Raw genomic sequence first — 19,623 nt, forward strand, 5'->3', positions numbered from 1 at the left:
ATGTCTGTAATCCTAGCACTTTGGGAGGCTGAGGTAGGCAGATGACTTGAGATCAGGAGTTCGAGACCAGCTTGGCCAACATGGTGAAACCCCATCTCTACTAAAAATACAAAAAATAGCCGGATGTGGTGGCGCATGCCTGTAATCCCAACTACTCAGGAGGCTGAGGCAGGAGAATCGCTGGAACTCAGGAGGCAGAGGTTGCAGTGAGCTGAGATCATGCCACTGCACTCCAGTCTGGGCGACAAAACGAGACTCCATCTCAAACAAACAAAACAAAACAAAACTCACTCACATGTTGCTAAGATTCAGTGGCACCATTTGTCTTCTTTATGGTTGGATTTTGTTTCTTTCAGGTTTCTGTAGTTACACTATAATTATTTAAGGCAAGGTCTGCCTCCGTTTTGGGTTGGAGGCTGTATTCAGTTTTTTATTTTTATTTTTTGAGATGGAGTCTCGCTCTGTTGCCTAGGCTGGGGAGCAGTGGTGCGATCTGCGCTCACTGCAAGCTCTGCCTCCCGGGTTCGCGCCATTCTCTCACCTCAGCCTCCAGAGTAGCTGGGACTACAGGCACCCCCCCACCACGCCCGGCTAATTTTGTTTTTGTATTTTTAGTGGAGACGGGGTTTCACTGTGTTAGCCAGGATGGTCTCGATCTCCTGACCTCGTGATCCGCCTGCCTCAGCCTCCCAAAGTGCTGGGATTACAGGCATGATTTCTTTTTTTTTTTAATCAGTAACATGGAAGCAGGAGGCAGGTAGGTTTAATATGCTACTGCCTTTCCACCCAGCTTTGCTTTTCTCCTTTTTTCCTCTTCTTCCTCTTTATTTCCATCTCTCTTTCCCAATATAATTCTTCTTCCTCTTCCCCTCCTCTTCCTCCTCCTTCACTTCCTTGTTCTTCCTCCCTCCTCTTCCTCCTCTTCCTCCCCCTCCTCCTCTTCCTTTTTCTCCTCTTTCTTCTTCCCTCCTCCCCCTCCCCCTCTTCCTCCTTCTTCTCATCCTCCTCTTCCTCCTCAGGGCCAATCCTACTCTACATCATTGCATTGTACATTGATAGGCACCTAAAATTCAACTGAATTGCACCAACTCTGAATTACTACTTCTGAGGGCTTCTCCAGTAGCACCCCTGCCCACTTTATCAACAAGAATTTGTGTTTAAAAGGCAGAAGTCACCATCCTGTGACCCACCAAAGGTCGGCAACAAGAGGGCTCTCTCTTGACTCTGGTTCTGGGTGACACCACTCGTGGGGTGCGGGGGAGTCTGCCAATATTCTATTCCTACTCCTGCCCCTCTTAGTAACAAAGCCCTTTGTGTTAGTCAACTTGGGCTGCCAGACAAAATACCATAGACTGAGAGGCTTAAACAACAGAAATTTATTCTCACAGTTCTGGAGGCCAGAAGTCCAAGATCAAGGTGCTGGCTGATTCTGTTTCTGGTGAGGGCTCTCTTCCTGGTTTTTAGATGGCTGCCTTCTTACATGGCCTGTCTTCTATGCATTGGTTGGGGGTGGGAGGTTGGTGGTGTCTCTTCCTTTTCTTAGAAGGCCACAAATCCTCCCAGATTAGGTTCTACCTTTATGACTTCATTTAACTTTACCTTCCTAACAGCCCTATTTCCAAATACAGTTACATTGGGGTGTAGAGCTTCAAATGAATTTTTTGGGGGACACACTTCAGTCCATAGCAGCCTTGAGTTTATCTGAGGTGGCAGTGTACCCAACTAAACATGACATTTCCCAGCCTCTCTTACAGCTATATGTGGCCAAGTGACTCAACTCTACACAATGAGGTGCAGGCTGAGGAGCGGTGTGGTATCCAGGAAGACCTATTCAAAGGGAGAGGGTCCCTTTTACCTCTTGTTCCTCTTCCTGTGGTTTGGAATGAGCTGATGGTGCCTGAGCTCAAGCAGCCATCTCGGACTCAGAGATGACGTAAGGATGAAAGCTTCCTGGGTTGGCAGAACTGAAGACAGAAGGACCCTAGGTTCTTGGTGACCGAGGGCTCCCCCAAGCCTGGACTGCCCACCTCTAGTCTGGGAGAATATCTATCTTCCATAAGCCACTATTTAGGAGTCTTTGTTATTGTCAGCAAATGCTATTTCCAGCTGATGCATGGAAGCTCCCCTGGCCCTGAGTTTTGAGCTTCAGGCAAAGACATTCAAAGTTCCTCTAAGGCCACTGCTACTTTTTCTCCTACCCTCCCTTCTTTGGAAGCATAATTTTATCCAAGAGTTCCCGATTCATGCACATTTGTCCTCCTTCTGTCTTTTGTTTTTTTTTCTTTCCTCTGCTTTCTCCTCTCTCCCTCCCTCTCTTCTTTCCTTCCTTTTCCTTCCCTCCTTCTAATATTTATTGAGCACCTACTATGTTCCAGGTACCGTGCTAGCTGCCATGATTAGAAGTAGGTATAGGAGATAATCCCTTCTCCCCAGTAACCCAGAATCCAGGCTTTCTGGACAACATAAAGAGAATATGATGGCAGGATAGATCAAAGGAAAGGACATTAAATCCGATAAAAAGGGCCTGGGGCGTTCCAGAAGGAGGTCACACTTGGCCTGAGATCTAAAGTAGAACTTTTGTGTTGCTGGTAATGAGGAAAAGAGGGTGGAGGACAAAATCCCAGGCACAGGGACCAGCACAGTGTTACTTTATTCGGCTTCATCACCTGTAAAATGGGGACAGTAATAGTAACATGAATAAGTGAATGGATGGACTAGTAAGTGTGCAGTTCATGCTACTTTTTAATATTATTCTTGTTGGCAATGTGCTGTTCACCCTGGTAGGCACAGCCCTGTATCAGTTTTGGAGACAAGCTTCACAGAGGACATGTGACTTACTTGTCCATGGTCACACAACTATAAAAAGGCACTGCTCAAACCCAAGTGTCCTGGTCCCTGGTACAGTGACCTTTATATCTTTACCCTCTGCCTTTGCATTAAGTGCTGAGGGAATGCAAAGTGAGGGAAAGATCGGTGTGTGGTGGGGGGAAAATCTAGAGGGCTTCCTGGAAGAGGAGATTTTTGAGAGCATTTTGGTAGAAAGGGAAAAAGGAAGGCATTCCAGGGAAGGAGTGTATGATGGGTGCCATCCATCAGGGTGTTGGAGGATGGGCTGGGGGGCTAGCTGGCTGGCAGAGGATTTGAACTCTGAAGATTGGTGAGACACGAGGTAGAGCAGGCAAACAGGCAAAATCAGAGGATGAACCATGATTACAGGCACCCTGATGGCCAGATTGTGGAGTGAAGCTCTAAGCCAGTGGGCCACAGGGAGCCACAGGAAGTTCTTGAGCAAGAAGGCTGGTCAAAATGAAATGAGACTTTGGGGAGAAAGGAAAGAAAGAAACAAACTTGTCTTTACTAAGAACCAGTATGAACTAGGCAGTAGGTTGGCCATTTTCAAATTTATTACTTAATTTGAGCCTCACTACAGCCCCATTAGGTTGGTATCAATGTCCCCATTTCATAGATGAGAAAACTGAGGTCAAGAGAGACTCAGCCTTAGATATGAGTCAGTGGTGGAGCTAAAAGATAGGTTAGACTGAACCTAAATCTGTGCTTTTTCCACTGCACCATGTGGCTTTATGCTGGTCTCACTCTAGGAATATTTCTTGTACTGTGAGTGTCCCAACTAAGGCATTTCCTAGCCAGGGCTAGAGTCTTTTAATAGCCCAGATACCCCCTGGGCTCACTCTGGGTCACACTGGGCATAGAGGCCTTAGTACCTTCGGGAGTTTTGGGGACTCCCAGCATGGGGTAGGATTAAGTGCTTGGCTTCCAGGTCTGAAAGAAGTAGGTTCAAATCCCAGCTATACTGTGCATGAACTGGAGAGTAATATGCTTTAGTTCACAGAGCCTCAACCCAGGTGGGGCAGCGGGATGAGCCCTGGATTGGGAGCCAACCCAAGCATAGGTTGAAACCCTAGCTGGAAGTGACAGGCACTGAGGAGGTGAAATGGTGTCTTTATTATTTCAAAATAATGAGTTGGAGGGGGTAGCGAGGAAATAAGGTTGCCCATGAGGTGATCATTGTTGAGGCTGGGTGATGGGTTTATGGGGGTTCATTACACTATTCATTCTACTGCTCTGTTTGAAAAATCTCCATTAATAAATAGGCTGGGCATAGTGGCTCACGCCTGTAATCCCAGCACTTTAAGAGGCTAAGGTGGGAGTCACTTGAGGTCAGGAGTTTGAGACCAGCCTGGCCAACATGGTGAAACCCTGTCTTTACTAAAACTACAAAAAATTTAGCTGGGCATGGTGGTGCACGTCTGTAATTTTAGCTACTCAGGAGACTGAGGTGGGAGAATCACTTGAACCCGGGAGGCAGAGGTTGCAATGAGCTGAGATCAAGCCACAGCACTCCAGCCTGGGTGACAGAGCGAGACTCTGTCTCAAAAAAAATAAAATAAAACAAAAAGAAAAAAGAAAAAAGAAAATCCCCATTAAAAAATAAAATAATAACAATAACACCAAAAACCTTTTTGAAAACCCAGCTACGTTCACCACACCCTCCTCTAGCTGGAACAGCATCTCTGGCTCCCAGGCACTGTTCTGCTTTAAAACTTCATCAGGCAAGAGCAGCCAAGGTGAGAATCCCTGCTTATAGCCATCTCTCACTAGCTGTGTACCTCAAGCCACTGTCTTTCCGCTGCTGAGCCTCAGTCTCCTCATCTGAAAAACGAGGTGAAGATTCTTTTAAGTTCAGGGGTACAAGTGCAGGTTTGTTACATGGGTAAACTTGTGTCATGGAGGTGTGTTGTACAGATTATTTCATCATCCAGGTATTAAGTCTAGTAATGGGGTGAAGATTCTAATGACCTCATGGAACTGTTGTGAAGTGTAAGTGGGATGATACAGGATCCCATGGGCTGGGCATAGCCCGTGACAGATGTGAGCAGGTCAGCCTGGGTTTTCCAGTCACTCTAAGCACCACCAGGCTGCTAGCCACATTCGGTGAGGAACCCTAAGCCAATACGTGCAGCAGAGGCCAGCCGATGACCTGACAGGGGATAAGTCCCACCTTCTGGGCAACTTTTACGAGTCTTCTGTGTAAGTACTGTGTGCTAACCGATTGCGCTGCTGGAGCTGCAGCCTTATGAGTTTTCTAAATCACAAGAAGTTCATCACCTAGTGGGGCTTTTTTATCTGCCTTTCCTCACTGCTTAAAGACCAAGCCCACATCTTTCCTTCTCCTGTCTGCTGTCGGAGCATAAGTGTGTGCCACACGTGACCAGGTGTGGCAGAGTCAGAGCAGGGGGTGGCTTCTGTGGAAGTAGGAGTGAAAGTGTGGAAACAAGTGAGTGCGTGTGTTGACAGGCATCTGCATTTGTGTTAGTTGTGCTTACTCAGAGGTCCACAGGCTTGTGGCAGATTTCAGAAGCTGGTCCTTCTTCAGCAGCTCTCTCGGAGGCACACCTCCCTGATCTGCATCTATGCGGAGTTACCCAGCACAAGGACACCAGGGTCGCTGTGTCACCACCAGAGGCACAGGTAGGGGGATAAGATTGGATGGTGGGGGAAAGGCCTGGGCCTTATCCGCCAGCCCTGCCACTGGCCTCCAGGACTTAGCCTCGGTTTCTCAAACTGTGTCAGGGACGAGTAAATGGGATGAGCAGCCCTTGGCAAGGAGTGGGCGCTAGGAAATCATCAGTGAAGGAGGGAGTGAATGAATGCAGGCCTGTGTGGCGACTGCTTCAGCATGGCAGACAAGGTGACGTATCAGAGCCTTGAGGGTGGGAGCTCCCCAGGTTGGGAAGGGACAGACACGTGGGCCAATCCTCTGGACAGGAATAGAGAACGAGGAGGAAACAAGCGCAGAAGCTGGAGCGGGTGGAGAAGAGCAGGGGAGACGGTTCGCAGCAGGAGAAAAGAAGCGAGGAGTCACAGGGAGGGGCCTCCTGGACACCGCTCCCAAAGCCACGCGAAAGTGGAAGCGCGGGGCCTCGGGATGCCCATCCAGCCGGCTGCCCGCGCGCTGGCCGGGGTTCCAGGACTCCTTCCTGCTCCGCCGGGCTCTGCAGCGCCGCCTGGTGGACACGCGGCGCTCCGCCCGGGCTCCAGCCGCCAGCCGGCGCGCCGGGGATCCCGCGGCTGTTCGGGAAAAAGCTGGAGAGAGTCGGGGGGCGCGCCTTGGGGAGGGGCATTTGTCCCTCCGAGGAGGCTCGCACCTCGGCCTGGACACGCAGCAGATACTGGCACCCACCCTTCACTTACCGCGCGCCCGGGGTGACTCGGATCCGTCCAACACGTCGGGGAATCCTTTCTGTCCTCACCCCCGGGCGCCCCAGCGCCGGAACGCTGCTGCCTCTGTGTAGCTGCTCCCGGAAGGAGTTTCATCAAACTTTTAAGGGGCTTTGGTTTTGGGTTGTGTTGATAAAATACCAAGAAGGGGCATGAAGGCACGAACGTCCCGGGTTCGTCTCCCTGCTGGTCCCAAGCCTGAATCCCAGGGCGGGGGAATGTCTAGGTCCTTCCGGGCCGGCAAGGTGTGGTCGCTCAGGGACCCCTGTCCGAAGACGCTAGGGAAAAGAGGCACAGCCTGTGGGTCGCAGTGGCCAGGAGCGCGTGGCCGCTGCTGGTGAGAGAGTGGTAGACGCCTGGCTTTCAGGTCCTGAGCTGCGGGCACCGGAGCGTGGGACCCCGGCTGCAGCACCGCCACGCGCTCCCGCCCTCCCACCTGCAGGGCGGGGGATGTCTGTCCAAGAGGCCGGGGCGACAAGCCCGCCGGCCAGGATTCTCAAGGAACCAGGCCCAGCTCAGCCTCTCTCGGCGGGACCAGAGTGGGACCGGGGCCGCGGCGTCCGAAGACGCTGCGGGCCAGGGGTCCTCCTCGGCGCCAGCTCCGTTTCCTGGGGTCTCGCGACGTCCGGACATCAGGGTCGGGGGTGTGGAGACGGCGGCGGAGCCAGAGTCCCCACCAAGTCAGTTCCAGGAGGCGGCCCGCGCGCTTCCCGCAGTGTCCGGGAGGTCGCTGGGGGTGGCTTTGCGTGCAACCCGGGTAAAGGCCCTGCAGCCGTGAGGCTGGCGCTGGGAGGAGGGTGGAAAATCTCAAAGTCACCAATCCCGGTGCAAATGGCGGCAGGGGCCGCGGGCTGTCGGACGCAGGCGAGAGGCCAAAGGCTGACTTCGCGCGGCCGTGAGTCCCCAGAGGCAACAGGGGTACCTGAGCGCCGAGGGGATCCCGAGACTCGGAGAAACCGGAAGAGCCTGACCCCAGGGAGCGGAGAGTTTGGGGTGCGCTCTCAGAGCTGTGACTCCACGGTCCCGGAATCCTTGGAAAGGGCGCTCTGGGCTCAGAGCTCCCAACTAGCCGGAGGACCTGGGCTAGCGCCCAGGCCTGGAGCGTCTGGGAGGGGGCGCTGGGTCTCGGCCCCCCTCCCCCCAAAAGGGACTGAGACTTTTTTCTGCGTGCTTCCTTCGGCGCTTCGGGCAGCTCTGTCCTGCGGCCCAAGCTGGGGAGAAGACAGCGGCCCGCGCCACAGGGAGCTGCGCCCGGACCCAGACTCCCGCCGCGCTTCTGCAGAGCGGAGCCCTAGGTGCCCACCTGGTAGCCCCAGAAAGGCCGGACCTGGGCGCCGGGACGCTCGCGGGGCCGCACTTGGAGGGGCTTTCCGGGTCCTGGCCGGGCGGGCTCTCCTGCGGCGCGGAATGGAATAGAGCGCCGGCTGCAGAGCCACCCGGACGGGGAAAAGCAGCGGTGGCGCCGGCCAGCCCCGGGTCCCGACTCTGGAGGGAGGAAGGAGCGGGCGGGTGGGGGTGGGGGTGAGGGCGAGGGTTGCGGGGAGCGTTTAGAAGGCCCTGGGCAGCCAGAAGAAGAAAAGAGGACGCACTCTCCCCTAGGGACCAGAGGGTCCCTGCGTACTCCCCCCAGGCCCGGGACACAGGTTCCCCCAGCGCCCCTCCGCCTCCCAGTCTATTCGGCTTGCCCCAGCGCGCTGCCCCACGTCCCCGAGGCCCCGGCCCAGGCCCAGCCGGCGAGTCCCGGCCTGCTCCACTCTGCACAAAACGAAACCCAAATGCCCAAAAAGCTCAGGAGGGAAATTTAACAAAAACCCTGTCCCCCGCCCCACACCCCCTTTCACTTTTAACAAGCCAGCTGCCAAGAGAAAATTGAAATAAAAACGAAATGATAGATAGCGGAGGACACTATTTTCCAAATGGTGAAATATCCTCTAAAAATATGTTCCCCAAGGCCAACTTCGCGGCTGGTAGCCCCTTCCGACGCCTTTGCCTCCCAGAAAATCACAACAAAGCGATCGGAAATTCAGCCACGGTCCCGGGAAGAAGGAGTAGCAGTGAGGCCCCGGAACCCACTGCGGCCGAAACTGCCATGCTCTCTTTAACCAAAATAAAAAAGATAAGAAGAAGAAGTAAAACCCTTTAATACATCAAATATACGGAATTTTAATCTTTAAAGCGATACATTGTCTATTATTTTAGTACATGACGTAAACCTTGTCCCCTTCTCAGCGGGTGGACTTAAAAATTAAAAATAGTTAAGTGTTCCTTTTAAAGAACAAAATAAGGCAAATGAGGTTTTGGAATAGAATTTTTTCTTTTTCTTTTTTTTTTTGTTGTTTTCTTCCAGAATACATACAAAAAAATACCCATTCTCTTCGATGGTATACACCTTAAAAATAATTGCAATTTGAAATCAGAGCTGACAAATTGTGACTTTTTTTTTCATTTTTTTTGTAACAAACATGCATGTAAATTTGTGTTTCAATCAGACATTAAATAACGTACAATACAATCATAGCAATTTTAAAGTAACATTAAAGAGAAGACCTCTAGTTCTGTGGCGGTTTTGCTTTTATTTATAATCTACAAGGGATGGGAGGGTTTGTTTTCCACATTTTTACCCTCAAGTTTTAAAATTTTTCCCACCTCCTTTTTACCTACAGAGCTCAAACTAAATAATGCACTTTTGAACCACCGGTCCGCTTGGAGCTAACATAAATAAATACCAGTGTCCACCGATGCAGTCCTCAGATGAACACTTTCTCAATTATTTTTTCCTTTTTTTTTCTATAAAAAGTCAAATGATATTTTTTCAACTTTTATAAAGTTTGGGTGGGGAGGTGAAAGTGGGGAGAAGGGGAGTGTCCCACCGGGTCTCGGTCGCTGCTGTCGGGTAGATAGATACGGTATACATTTCTTTCCTTTCGTGGCCCGAGTCCTCCCCACGCGCGGGTGTCAGCAGCCTGGGCCGTGATCCCGCCTCTCCCTGGACTCCTCCCCTCCCCCTCTCCCTCCTCTCCCTCGCTCGCCCTCCCGGCCGCCCTCACTGATACCCCAGCGCCGAGGCGGTGGTCAGTCTCTGTCCGTAGAGGGCGTAGGGGGAGTAGTACGGTCCGGTGGCGGCGGGCACCGGCACGGGGGCGCCAGGCGTGGGAAGCGGGCTCTTGGAGTAGGGGTGGTAGCGGCTGCTGAGTCCCAGCGCGTGGTGGGGGCTGCGCAGCGCCAGCGTCCCAGGGCTGCCCGGTGCGCCCGAGGTGGGGATGTGCATGTGGCAAGCCATGGCGGCCGCGGCAGCGCTGGCCAGAGACGACGAGCTGGGGTAGCCCGACAGCAGTTTGTCTGTCCCGGGAAATGCCGTATGGGTCCGCAAGTGGCTCAGCAGCTCTTCGGACGTGGCGAAGCGCTTGTCGCACGGCCCGTTGGCCGACACCCAGTTGCAGATGTGGGGGAGTGGGTCGTTAGGGAGCATAAAGCCGTAGGGGTAGAGGGGGTGGCCGGCCAGGGAGGGCGGTGTGGCGCCAGCAGCCGCGGCGGCCGTTAGCGAGGAGTGCACACCGTGCAGCGGGTGCGTGGGGTACACCAGCGGGTATCCGGACTTCAGCGCCGCAGCCGCAGCAGCCGGATCATGTGCGCAAGAAGCGCTGGCGGCCGCCGCCCCTGCCAGGTGGCTAGCGCAGTGGTAGCTGAGGCAGTAAGGGTCCCGGCACAAACTGGCTGTCATCACGGACGGCGGAGACGCTCCGGCCAAAGGGCTGGAGCCGGCCGGCTTACTGCAGCCCAGAGACCCGGCCGCGGCCGCCGCCAGCTGCGCCCCCACCAGGCTGCCCGGCTTGGTGGGGTCAAGTGCCACGCCGTGTGGCAGGAACTGGGGCGGGTAGCCGGCGTAGGCCCCGGCCAGGCTGCCTGGGTAGGTCATACCCGCGGGAGGCAGAGGGAACACTGTCTGGCCCGGCTTGTAGGGTGACACGGGAGCCACCAGCCCAGAGCCCAACACTGAGGAGGAGGTGGGCGCGCTGGGGCCGGAGCCGGAGCTGGAGCCCGATGAACCGCCGCAGTCCGAGCCCAGAGCCTTGCCTCCCGGGCCCCCATCCGGATGCTGGTTCACATCCACATTAATCCCGCCGCCGCAGCTAATCCGGCCGTGTGCCAGCCCCGTGGGTCCCCCTTCGGCCGAGGCGCCCCCGGTGCCCTTGCCACCGCCGCCCACGTCGGTGTCTTTCTTGTCGTCCTTGCCCTCCGGGGCACCCCCGGCCGAGGACAGCATACCTCCCGGCGAGCAGGCCGAGGCGCTGGAGCTCGGGCTGCCTGTCCTGGGCGTGAATGGCTGGCAGGTGGCGCTCGGTACCCGGAATCCCGACTTCTCCGACGAAACACCCCCGCCGCCGCCCCCGCCACCGCCACCGCCTCCACCGCCGCCTCCCGGCTCCTTCTTATCCGAGCCGGGTTTGGAGTACGGCTTGAAACTCGACTTGTCCTCCACGCCGATGTCGCTCAGCTTCAGGGGGCCCGATTTGGTGTCCTTGTCGCCCGCAGCACCGCCGCCGGCACCGCCCGCGCCGCCCCCGTTGGAGGCAACCGAGGAGAGTTTGGAGGAGGGCGAGGGGTCGGGCTTCCCGATCTGCGAACATGTTTGCGCCAACAGCGCCAGCGGGCTCTTCTTGGCATCGAGCTGCGGGGTCAGACGATGGGGGGGGAGCGTCACACAGAGAAAGAAGTGGAAACCCTTTAGAATCCTGGCTTCTGGGGTTCAAATGCCTCTCCGCAACAGCCCACGAAGATCCTCCCAGCCCCAAGGCGCAATTCTAGGCGGCACCCCCTCTTCAACACCCACTCACAAACATTCTCGCCGTTGGGAAAGGCAGCAGATTGCTCCCCCCGCCCAACCACCACCCCCAGCAGCATCTTTCCTGCCCTCTCTGAGCGCTAACTAGATTTTTAAAGAGCAAAATGTTTTGGTTTTCGGTTCCTAGACCCAGAACTGTACCCCCTCCCCACAAACACTCCTTAATTCTTCAGAGTAAGGGCTCGGGCGGCTGGCGCCTCAGAGGCTGTGTGCACACACTGGCTTCTGCGGATACGAAGGACGGCGACTTTGGAACCGTATTTCAGACCTCCGCCTGCCTTCGGTGCCGAGTGAAGGGGCCTGGGTCGGGGTAGGGGCTTTCATATCGAAAGGAGAAACAAGTATTGGCAGCCTTGCTCCCTAGCATGCACGCCCCATTCCACTTCCTCCCCCTTTTCCGCCCTAGTTTTGAGGTACGGAAGCAGTAGCCTCTTCCCCCATTCGGGAGCTGAATCACTCCGACCCCCCCACCTCCGCCCAGATCCCGAGAAAAAGAAAGCCCTAGGGTGGCAGCCAGGGTAGTGGTCCCAGTGCGATCCAGAGAGAGGGTCCTTACCTCGATGGGGCTGACCGGCGTGGAAGGCAGGGGCTGCAGGTACTCGGGGTGCAAAATGTGGCCAGTTCGTGCCGTCAGCATCTTCAGCACCTTGATTGGCAGGCGGTTGGCCTGGCGCAGGGGGTCAGAGGGGGGCACGGCGTGCACAAAAGGCTTGGTGCTGCCGGCCGGGGACGAGCCTGGGCCGGGGCCGGAGCTATTTCCAGAGAGCGCGCTGGTCCAGGCAGGGTCTGCACCGCCGCCTCCGCCTCCGCCGCCGCCGCCGCCGCTGTGCTTACTGCTTCTTAGGGCAGAAAGCGAGGGCGCTGTGCTCATGACCCACCCGCGCGCATGGGAGCAGCGGGGGGGAGGGCTCCGGGAGGCGCGGGGCGGGCTCGGGGCTGCGCGCTCGCCCCGGGAGCAGGAGCAGCGGGAGGAGGAGGAGCTGGCGCGGCGGCCACGGGCGCCCAGCGCGCCTTCTCGGCGCCTGGAGCCAGACGCGAGTAATCCTGGGTGGCCCGCAGCGGAGCCGTGGCCGGGCTAGAGGAGCCGGCTGGACTGCGGGAGTGCCGGGCGGCTCGCGGTGTCCGCCTCGGGCTGCTCCCCTGCGCTGCGTTCTCGCGGCCCCGCGCCGGCGCTGCGCTCTGCGATGCGAGCCGCTGCGTGTCCAGCCGGGGCTCTGGCGAGGAAACTCACTTCAAAAGCAGCTGCACCAAGGGGGAGATTAAAGCCTTTGCCGCCTTCCAATCAAATGGGAGCCCGAGGTGATTGGAGGGTCAAGGGGATGTGACGCGTCCCGCGCCGCCGCCGCCGCCGCTGCCAGGACTCTCAGTGCCGGTTTTAATGGGCAGCTCCCTCTTCGCCGCCCCCCTGTGTGTCCCCTCCCTCGATTTCGCTGGGAGGACGAGATGGACATTTATTCTACGTTTGCCATCCGCCGCCTCCCTCTTTTTTCCTCCTCGTCGTTCTTCCTTTCCCCAGCTCGAAAATAAACTGAAACCTTCTTTTGAAGGGGGGTGCGCGTGAGGAACAGACTGCGGGGGGTGTCCAGAAGGAGCACCGGTGGGAGTGTGGACACCGGCCGGACTGTCAACTCCAGGGGCGAAGGGAACCTGCACACCCAGTGTTTTTTCCTTCGCAGTAATCGAGATCCCGCGCGGCGCAGCGCAGCCACCAGGGTAAGAAGGCAAGGTGGGGAGCCGGAGCTGGAAGAAGCCCGCCCGCCCGCTCTAATTTCCTCAGATTCCGCGGCGGAGAAACCAGAAGCTAGATGGGCAGTCGCAGCGGCGGCGGCTCAACACCGCGAGGAGCGCTGGGCTCTCCGCCCTTCCCGGCCACGTGACGCCCGGGGACGCGTAGATTGGGGCAGCAGCGGGGGTCACATGTTTCCTCTGTTTCACCCTCAGTCTGTCCCCCAACCCCCCATTCTTACTCTCCCACCCTGTTTTCCTCCCTCCCCCCCTTCTTTGGGCATCTCCACCCCTCCATCAATTGTCAATGTTCCTCGACCGCAATCAATCAGTTATTTGTCAGCTCTTGTCAATCCTCCCGTGATTTATGTCAGCTTTTGTTGCTGATTACAAGGCGGGTGCGACTTGAAGGGAAAAAGAGAGAGGGAGAGAGAGACGGAGAGGAAGGAGGAGATTGAGAGGGAACTGGAGGAGGGGAAAAGAGGAGCGGCCTCCTGGGATGGGGGTGGGGTGGGGGCTCTAAGAAAAAGAATGAAAGAGGCGCACGGTGTCAGGAAAATGAATAGCGAGAGTAAAGTGCGCAGGTGCGCCCAGGGCGCCGAGAGGGGCGCGCAGGCCTGGAGTGTGCGCCTGCCCTCTCGGTGTCGGAGAGACGCCCTTCCACCTCTGGGAGCCTCGGTCTGTTGGGGTCGCGGAGTTCGGGCGCGGCTCCGGGTACCCGAGACCAGCGGCGGCAACTTCTAACACGGGAGATTTCCCGCCACCCCACCCCGCCGCCGCGAGTCCTCGCGGGGCGTGTTGCGTGCGGAGGTCAGGCTGCCACCCTCTGTAGTTCCCTAACCCCAAACTCGGAGACTTCTAAGAGCCACACCACCAAGGAACTTCTAGTCCTGGAGGTCAATGGTGGGGCAAACCTCGCCTCAATTCTTTGACCCCCTCGGGTCGTAAGCAGGGCTAAGAGGCTGCGAAGAAGAGGCCTGGCCATGGGTGTATGGGGGAAGAAACATCTCAGGCTCACTCATGCCCCCTCCCCGACCTTCTCCCACCTGCCGCCATCCCCGCAGGCTGGGGAGCCAGGGTAACTCGGGGCTGCTCTCTCGAATTTATTGGAACGCCGAGTCGGAATGAGCTGCGCTAGGAGAGCCGAGGGAAGGAGCGAGAGAGGGAGGGGGCGGCTGCCTGTGGGAACGCGGGTTCTTCCAGGGAAGCGGAGCGGGACTGCCGCGTTCCCCTCGATTTGCACCGTCACTCGGGTTGTTTGGGAAGAAAAGGGGAGGCGCTGTGCGTGCCACCGGGTACCTGGACCTGGATGCCCAGTGTGTATGCATGCCTGTGGCGCTGCGTGAGTTATCGGGGCTCTGATAGCGTCCGGAGCGGGTTCGAGGGTCTCCTCCAGGAACTCGCAGAAATTAGAGGGGGTGGGGAGGAGGACACACCCCCTTCCTCGGAACGACTTAGAAGACTTTGAATCTCCCCTCCTCCGCTTTTCCGCCCCGGCTCTTCTTTTGTTGTCAAGTCCTTTTGATAAATGGTGGGGCTGGGAGCTCTGGGAGTCGGGAGCCAGTCTGTGCCCGCGTGGGGGGCGGGGGCCGAGCCTGGAGACCCGGTTTCGACCGGCGCGCACCTGGGGCTGAGCCGGGTGCGCGCGGGGGTCGGGTCTGGAACTGCCCTTGGTATGCTCGCCCTCTCCTCTTGGCCCATCTCACTCCCCTCCCCCACCTGACTCCCCTCCCCGGCTTCTTTCTCTGTCTCCCACTCCGCACGGGTACCGAGAACTTTCCGGGGTGAGTTTTAGAATTTGCTCCTAGGCATTCTTTTTCTGCGTTTGGATTTTATCCCTTGATTCTTTGGGTTGGTAAACTTTATGAAATGGTAACTTGACTGAAGCTCATTTGGAGAGAAGAGGGGAGTGAGGCGGTGTGTGCTTGGGGCTGGTGTTTGTCAGTGTGAGCGTGTAAGAGCACACCTGCATTCAAGGGGGTTTGTAGTGTCCGTGCGACATCTGAGGGAGGTGAGTCGGCGAGCGGGTGGCGAGGCCCCACGCTGAGGGAGGCGGTTGTCTGGTCTCCGGGGAGCAAGTCCCAGGTGCGCGTTTCGGAGGGCGGGACAGTCCTACGCTGTCTCTGCGGGGCAGCGCGTCTGTGAAGCACTCTTATCCTTCGGGTGTGTCCATGTGTGCCTGGTTACTGAGTGCGCGGCCGTCTAGGTGTCGACCCAACCAATGGTAGTGCTCCTAACGCCGCGAGCCCACCTTTGGGCCGCTATCGCCGCGGCCTCCCCGCGAGGCCCGGGCACTGAAATTCTGGGGCCTGCGACAGGGCCGGGGGGGACGCAGCCAAGGGCGTCCCTCCCCAGCCTCCAGACTCAGCTCTTCCCCCTCTCCTCTAATTCCAGCAGCTTATTACGCCGGCGGCTCAGGGGAGGCAGCCTCAGCACCTGAAGCCTGGGGGGGCCGTGGAGTGGCTCCTGCGTCCCCCGGTGTGGCCACACACGCTCGTGGGGCTGCGCTGTGCTGCGTGGGTGCGGGTCGTGGTCAGCGTGCGTTCGCTTTTCTCAAAACTCCACTCCGAGGGTCCGAGCGCATGGGGGCGCCTGGGGGCCTGCGCGCCCGGGGCTTTTGGGAGGCGCCAGCGTCCGAGCCTGCGCACCTCGCGCAGGAGGCCAAACCCCCGAAGGCCGGCGCGGGCCCGGGAGTGGGGGCCATTAATTACTCTGCGCCAGGCCTAAAGCCTCCAACCCCCAGCAGCAGTTGGCGTGGATGTCCTGCGGATTTTATTTGCAAACAATGGAAATGATTTGTTTTCTCTAAAAAAGGAGTGGGCAAGGCAGATATTGGAGGAGGGGGTGGGAGGAGGAGAAGGAAGGGGAAAGAGCTGAGGAAAAAAGTTTGAAAATGCCTTGAACTATTCACTGTCGAGATGGCTAATCAGTATTGAGGCCGGAGGGCAGGCGGGCCGCCTTTCACCGCCGCTTCCCTTTCATCTCGGGCTCGGCGGAGGCGCTCAATTAAAAGCCTATCAGTTTGTAAGTAAATCAACGCCTATCAGAGTTGTCACATCAAACAAAACGATTATTATTGCAGCCCGCCTCCCCTATTAATCTCCCTCGAAGATAATCCGCCTGACAGGTCAGGCCCGGCGAGCTGGAAAGCCTGGCCCAGAGCACCCAAACAGTCCCGGACTGGCGCGCGCCCCCGGGGGCCTCCCCACCCCTGTCCTGCCCCGCCTCGCGGTCCCTGGGAGCGGGGAGAGAAAGCGCGCGCGGAGGCCTCTGCACCCAGGTCCGCCCCACCTGACTGGGAGCAAGGCCCAGATTCGCGGGGCCAGTAGGGGACAGTCCCGCGCGGCCCTCGCCGCTGCTCGGGGCAGGGGAGAAGCCTGGCGTGCAGGAGCCGCGGCCCGGCCCGGGGTCTCGCCACGGCCTGCGCTCTCCTCGGCTCTCATTTATTTTCTTCCTCCCTTCTTTTTGTTTTCTCTCCCGCGTCTTTCTGGGCTCCCCCATCTTTTTCCTTCATTTCCTTTTCCTTTTCCCTTTTTTTTACTTGCCAGGGAGTATTTCCCATTCTGGCTCTCTCTTCTTGGTGTGCCGTATAAACCTTTCTTGCGCAGCCACACTGCCTGGAGTAGGATGTTCTCAGGGCCCGGGTTATTTCTCCCGGGTTGCCCCAGGAGTGTGCAGTTCCCAGAAACTCATGGCAAAGTCCTCTATAATCTCTTTCCGAGCAGGGGCTCTGAGAAGCTCTGCGCCTGTTTAAGGGTTGGGTGGGTTTGGAGGGGTGAAGAGGAAAAAGAGGGAGAGAGACTGGTGGACAGTTGTCCTATTCTGGAATTAGTATTTTGCCTTGGAATTTCATAGCTGTAACGTTGCCGACCTCGCTGTTGGCGTTGCCCGGGCTTTTCAAATATGTAGATAAGACTCAAGGGGGCATCCAGGCCTCAGTAGTGACTATGTGTGTGTGGGTGGGTGCCTGATACAAGTAAATACACCCAGATAACTGCCTCTGTGGCCTCAAGTTAGTGTCCCAAGAGTTTGGGTGGGGCCTCGCTTCTAGAAGGCGCAAAAATCGTGGCCTTCTTCCCAGTGGCCTCCGGCTTCCTGCTTTGGGATGCCTCGGAATCGAGCCGGACCCGCCTTTTTCTGCGCTCTTCCTCCACATCTGTAGGCCCAAACGGCCACTGCCGGAGCCAGGTGGAGCCAGGATTGAGGGGTAGCTGAAGTGTCTGTGACGAAAGGGCTGCCCGAGGGAGCCCAGGCCTGCCACCTCATATGTCGGGTTCAGTGCGCCGCGAAGGCTCTCCGCGCCTGTATCTCGGAGGACCCCCAGAGCGCTGCAGTATTGGGCGTCAGGGCCGAGCCTCTCGCAGCAGTCACGCCGCAGTCCGAGGCCACGGACATCCAATAGAGCCCACTTCAACTTGCATGGTGCATGGGGTCCAGGACCGGTGGCCCCCACACAGGGTTTCCCAAAGCCTCTCCATTTGTCTGCACTCTCCACTGCCGACCTTGTAGGAAATTTATTTCCATGCCCAGAAATATTGTTTGGACACAGTGGCTCGGTTATCTTCGCGCCTGCTTTTCTTAAATACATTTATTTCACCTCTGCCACGCTGCAGATATTTAAAGATCTGTAGATACCGTAACCCTCAGCGATGCGGGACTCACTCTGGTTATAGATAATATTCTCTGGGTGGTTATTTGAACATAAGTTCTATCTCCAGCCCAGATGACACCCAAGCAGGGGCTGTAAAGGACACTTGCTCTAGAATGTTTTCAACTGAAATATATGTCCACACACGGAGAATTTAAGAGTATTTTTATATTTCTCTCTAGATCTAAATATTCAGATGTGTTAATTACATGCCCTAGAAGCTGGAAGCGATCAGTGGTGTTCACACTGGACGTGGAGCTGTTTGTATAATTTTCATCTCCCTGCACTTAAACATGACTCTCAGTCTAATAAATTCAACCTTGTCATTTTTAGAATCGACGGGATTTCTCTGGCTGTCGTTTGCGCTGCATTTATCCGAATACATCCAGCTCGCAGGCATCCTGCAAGAAACGGCTCCCGGCTCGCGTGTACGCCGACACCTCGGCCCAACGCAGGACTCGAGGTGGTTTCTAGTGCCCGGGTGGCTGCAAGTCTGCCCTCCGAGGGAGGCTGGACAAGCGGCGCCCCCAGGTCGAGCGGCCTCTCGCTGCCTGGCAGTGCCTGGCAGCCCCCACCTCTGCCAGTGCTTCGGAAACCCGCCTGGCCAGGTTCGCCCGCGGTGAAAAATGAAAGCAAATTCCCCAACAGAGGTAGCCGGAACTTTCCTCGACGAAGGCTCCCTCCTGCGCCTGTGTCTGGAGAACCCCCAGAGCGCTGCAAGTTAGCAAGAGAGATTCGATGGCGGCTCTGGAAGGCGCACGAAGGGTGGGGCGGGGGAGCAAAGAGGCCACTGGGTGACCCAGCCTGGTCCGGGGTGAAACGCTAGAGAAGGCGCCTCGCCTTCCTTATTTCAATGCAACTCCTCGGCCCCAGACGGTAAAAATAGTTTCCAAGCTGCCGCGGACGCCCAGGATGTGTTTGCAGAGATCAAACTGGGGAGGAGGCAGCTTTGTAAAAGTTGCAGAAAGATTAGCCGAGAAGCGTCCGCCCGGCGGGGCTCAAGAAAGCTTGGGGACAGCTCCATGTTCCTTGGGGCGGAATGGCCCAAGAATTGGCCTGGGTAACCCCCTGCCCAGTTCTCTGTCCTCACTTCGAGCCAGTGCTTAAATAACTTCCCGCCGCCTGCCCTGCAAACTTCCCGGCGCGGCGCCGTTGAGGCCAGGACACAGCAAAGGCTAGCAAAACCCCGCCGCGGCGCGCTCGGCCCCGGCCCTGAGAGGCTGCGCGGGTGGGAGGACCAGTGTGGTTTCTGCTCCCACTCGGCTGCCCAGACCCTCAAGACCGATCCCCCAACTCCTGGGAGCGGGTGCTTCCCTCTGGGAGCCGAGATCTTGCGGGGCCAGCGAGGGCGCAAAGTGCGCGCGCTGGCCCGCGCGGGGGCGGCCGCGCGTCTCTCCGCGGGGCCTGTCGCCAGGCCGGCCGCGGCGCGTGAGTGATGAGGGCAGAGAAGGGCGCCCATAAATCGCGGGTGTCAGGGCGAAAAACTCTCTTTATTGTCTGCGTGATGGATGGGCCCGGGGACGAGACACCAAATACTTCGTATCGCCTTTAAATGGGAACACATTTTCCGCGGCCATAATTCATGTTTTTTAAATAGAAAGTTTGAAATGTTGCCTATATTTCACCAGCCCTGACATATTTATGAATCGCTCCCTGCATGCAAATATCATTACTTAAAGCGCCGGGGAGAGCGCGGGGGAGGGGAGGAGGCGCGGTTCCCGGGGCGTGGGGGTGGTGAACCGGGGAAATATCGGTGGAGGGGGGCCATCTCCCTAAAGGGCAGAGGGTGAGGTGCGGTGAATAGCCGTATCCGGAAACCGAGCGTGCCCCGGGCTTCTTTCCCGCCGCCAGACCCCGCACAGCCGCCCTGGGACGTTTTTCGAGGCTTGGGACCTAAGACGGGTCCCCGGACCCTGCTGGGAAACCAGGGGGCGTTTTTCGTCCCTCTCTGAGGCCATTATCCAAGCTGAAACCACCTTTTATAAGAAAAAAGTTTAAAGAAAAAAAATTTAACAAACACAAATAATAATAATAACCCAACATGTTTCGCGTTCTTTGCCACTGCATCGATTTTATTGATTTTCATTCTGCAAACCTGGGAATGTGCGCGCTCGGGAGGGGAGGCTGTCAAAACCCAGTCATCGCGGGGACTGGATGGGGGACAATT

At 57.0% G+C, this 19,623-nt stretch overlaps 2 protein-coding genes and 1 long non-coding RNA gene across 9 annotated transcripts in view, besides 7 other annotated features; 2 read left to right on the forward strand and 1 right to left on the reverse strand.

Moving 5' to 3' along the window:
* The window catches only part of ZNF503 (zinc finger protein 503), a 122,192-nt gene extending 109,741 nt beyond the window's left edge, over positions 1–12,451 (reverse strand). Inside the window, exons 1-2 of one of the 2 annotated variants that reach the window (NM_032772.6) lie at positions 11,640–12,299; positions 8,365–10,909 (exon numbers count right to left, since the gene is read on the reverse strand). In NM_032772.6, coding sequence (NP_116161.2) covers positions 9,284–10,909; positions 11,640–11,954 — 1,941 coding nt within the window. In that variant the 5' untranslated portion in view covers positions 11,955–12,299 and the 3' untranslated portion in view covers positions 8,365–9,283. Of the gene's footprint in view, positions 1–8,364; positions 10,910–11,639 lie in introns of those variants that run through there. The other variant, NR_120651.2, reaches the window with a different exon arrangement.
* LOC124902461 (uncharacterized) lies at positions 664–8,792 on the forward strand. Its single transcript, XM_047426122.1, has one exon. The coding sequence runs from the start codon at positions 6,691–6,693 to the stop codon at positions 7,654–7,656; it is 966 nt and encodes a 321-aa protein (XP_047282078.1). The 5' UTR covers positions 664–6,690; the 3' UTR covers positions 7,657–8,792.
* Positions 11,301–11,801: an enhancer, noted in NCBI's record as "H3K4me1 hESC enhancer chr10:77160524-77161024 (GRCh37/hg19 assembly coordinates)". NCBI's record gives its function as "activates a minimal SCP1, AML or CMV promoter by ChIP-STARR-seq in naive H9 embryonic stem cells {active_cell/tissue: H9 hESC(naive)}" and the evidence as "EXISTENCE:reporter gene assay evidence [ECO:0000049][PMID:30033119]".
* ZNF503-AS2 (ZNF503 antisense RNA 2) lies at positions 12,063–19,517 on the forward strand. 6 transcript variants are annotated; one of them, NR_024421.1, is made up of 2 exons: positions 12,063–12,796; positions 17,790–19,517. It is a non-coding gene; the product is annotated as a ZNF503 antisense RNA 2 (long non-coding RNA). The 6 variants fall into 6 exon arrangements; NR_110301.1 differs by lacking the exon at positions 12,063–12,796 and adding an exon at positions 13,432–13,618; NR_110299.1 differs by lacking the exon at positions 12,063–12,796 and adding an exon at positions 13,589–13,886.
* Positions 15,263–16,003: an enhancer, noted in NCBI's record as "NANOG-H3K27ac-H3K4me1 hESC enhancer chr10:77164486-77165226 (GRCh37/hg19 assembly coordinates)". NCBI's record gives its function as "activates a minimal SCP1, AML or CMV promoter by ChIP-STARR-seq in naive and primed H9 embryonic stem cells {active_cell/tissue: H9 hESC(naive and primed)}" and the evidence as "EXISTENCE:reporter gene assay evidence [ECO:0000049][PMID:30033119]".
* Positions 15,263–16,744: a biological region, named in NCBI's record as "VISTA enhancer hs484".
* Positions 15,341–16,416: an enhancer, noted in NCBI's record as "VISTA enhancer hs484". NCBI's record gives its function as "enhancer in: midbrain (mesencephalon)[7/7] | limb[3/7] | branchial arch[6/7] | eye[3/7] | nose[5/7]" and the evidence as "EXISTENCE:transgenic organism evidence [ECO:0001131][PMID:17130149]".
* Positions 16,004–16,744: an enhancer, noted in NCBI's record as "NANOG-H3K4me1 hESC enhancer chr10:77165227-77165967 (GRCh37/hg19 assembly coordinates)". NCBI's record gives its function as "activates a minimal SCP1, AML or CMV promoter by ChIP-STARR-seq in naive H9 embryonic stem cells {active_cell/tissue: H9 hESC(naive)}" and the evidence as "EXISTENCE:reporter gene assay evidence [ECO:0000049][PMID:30033119]".
* Positions 16,745–17,484: an enhancer, noted in NCBI's record as "H3K4me1 hESC enhancer chr10:77165968-77166707 (GRCh37/hg19 assembly coordinates)". NCBI's record gives its function as "activates a minimal SCP1, AML or CMV promoter by ChIP-STARR-seq in primed H9 embryonic stem cells {active_cell/tissue: H9 hESC(primed)}" and the evidence as "EXISTENCE:reporter gene assay evidence [ECO:0000049][PMID:30033119]".
* Positions 17,485–18,225: an enhancer, noted in NCBI's record as "H3K27ac-H3K4me1 hESC enhancer chr10:77166708-77167448 (GRCh37/hg19 assembly coordinates)". NCBI's record gives its function as "activates a minimal SCP1, AML or CMV promoter by ChIP-STARR-seq in naive H9 embryonic stem cells {active_cell/tissue: H9 hESC(naive)}" and the evidence as "EXISTENCE:reporter gene assay evidence [ECO:0000049][PMID:30033119]".
* Positions 19,518–19,623: the final 106 nt, after the last annotated feature.

The sequence above is a fragment of the Homo sapiens genome, chromosome 10 (genome assembly GCF_000001405.40).
Source record: "Homo sapiens chromosome 10, GRCh38.p14 Primary Assembly".
In the NCBI taxonomy this organism is placed as follows: domain Eukaryota; kingdom Metazoa; phylum Chordata; class Mammalia; order Primates; family Hominidae; genus Homo; species Homo sapiens.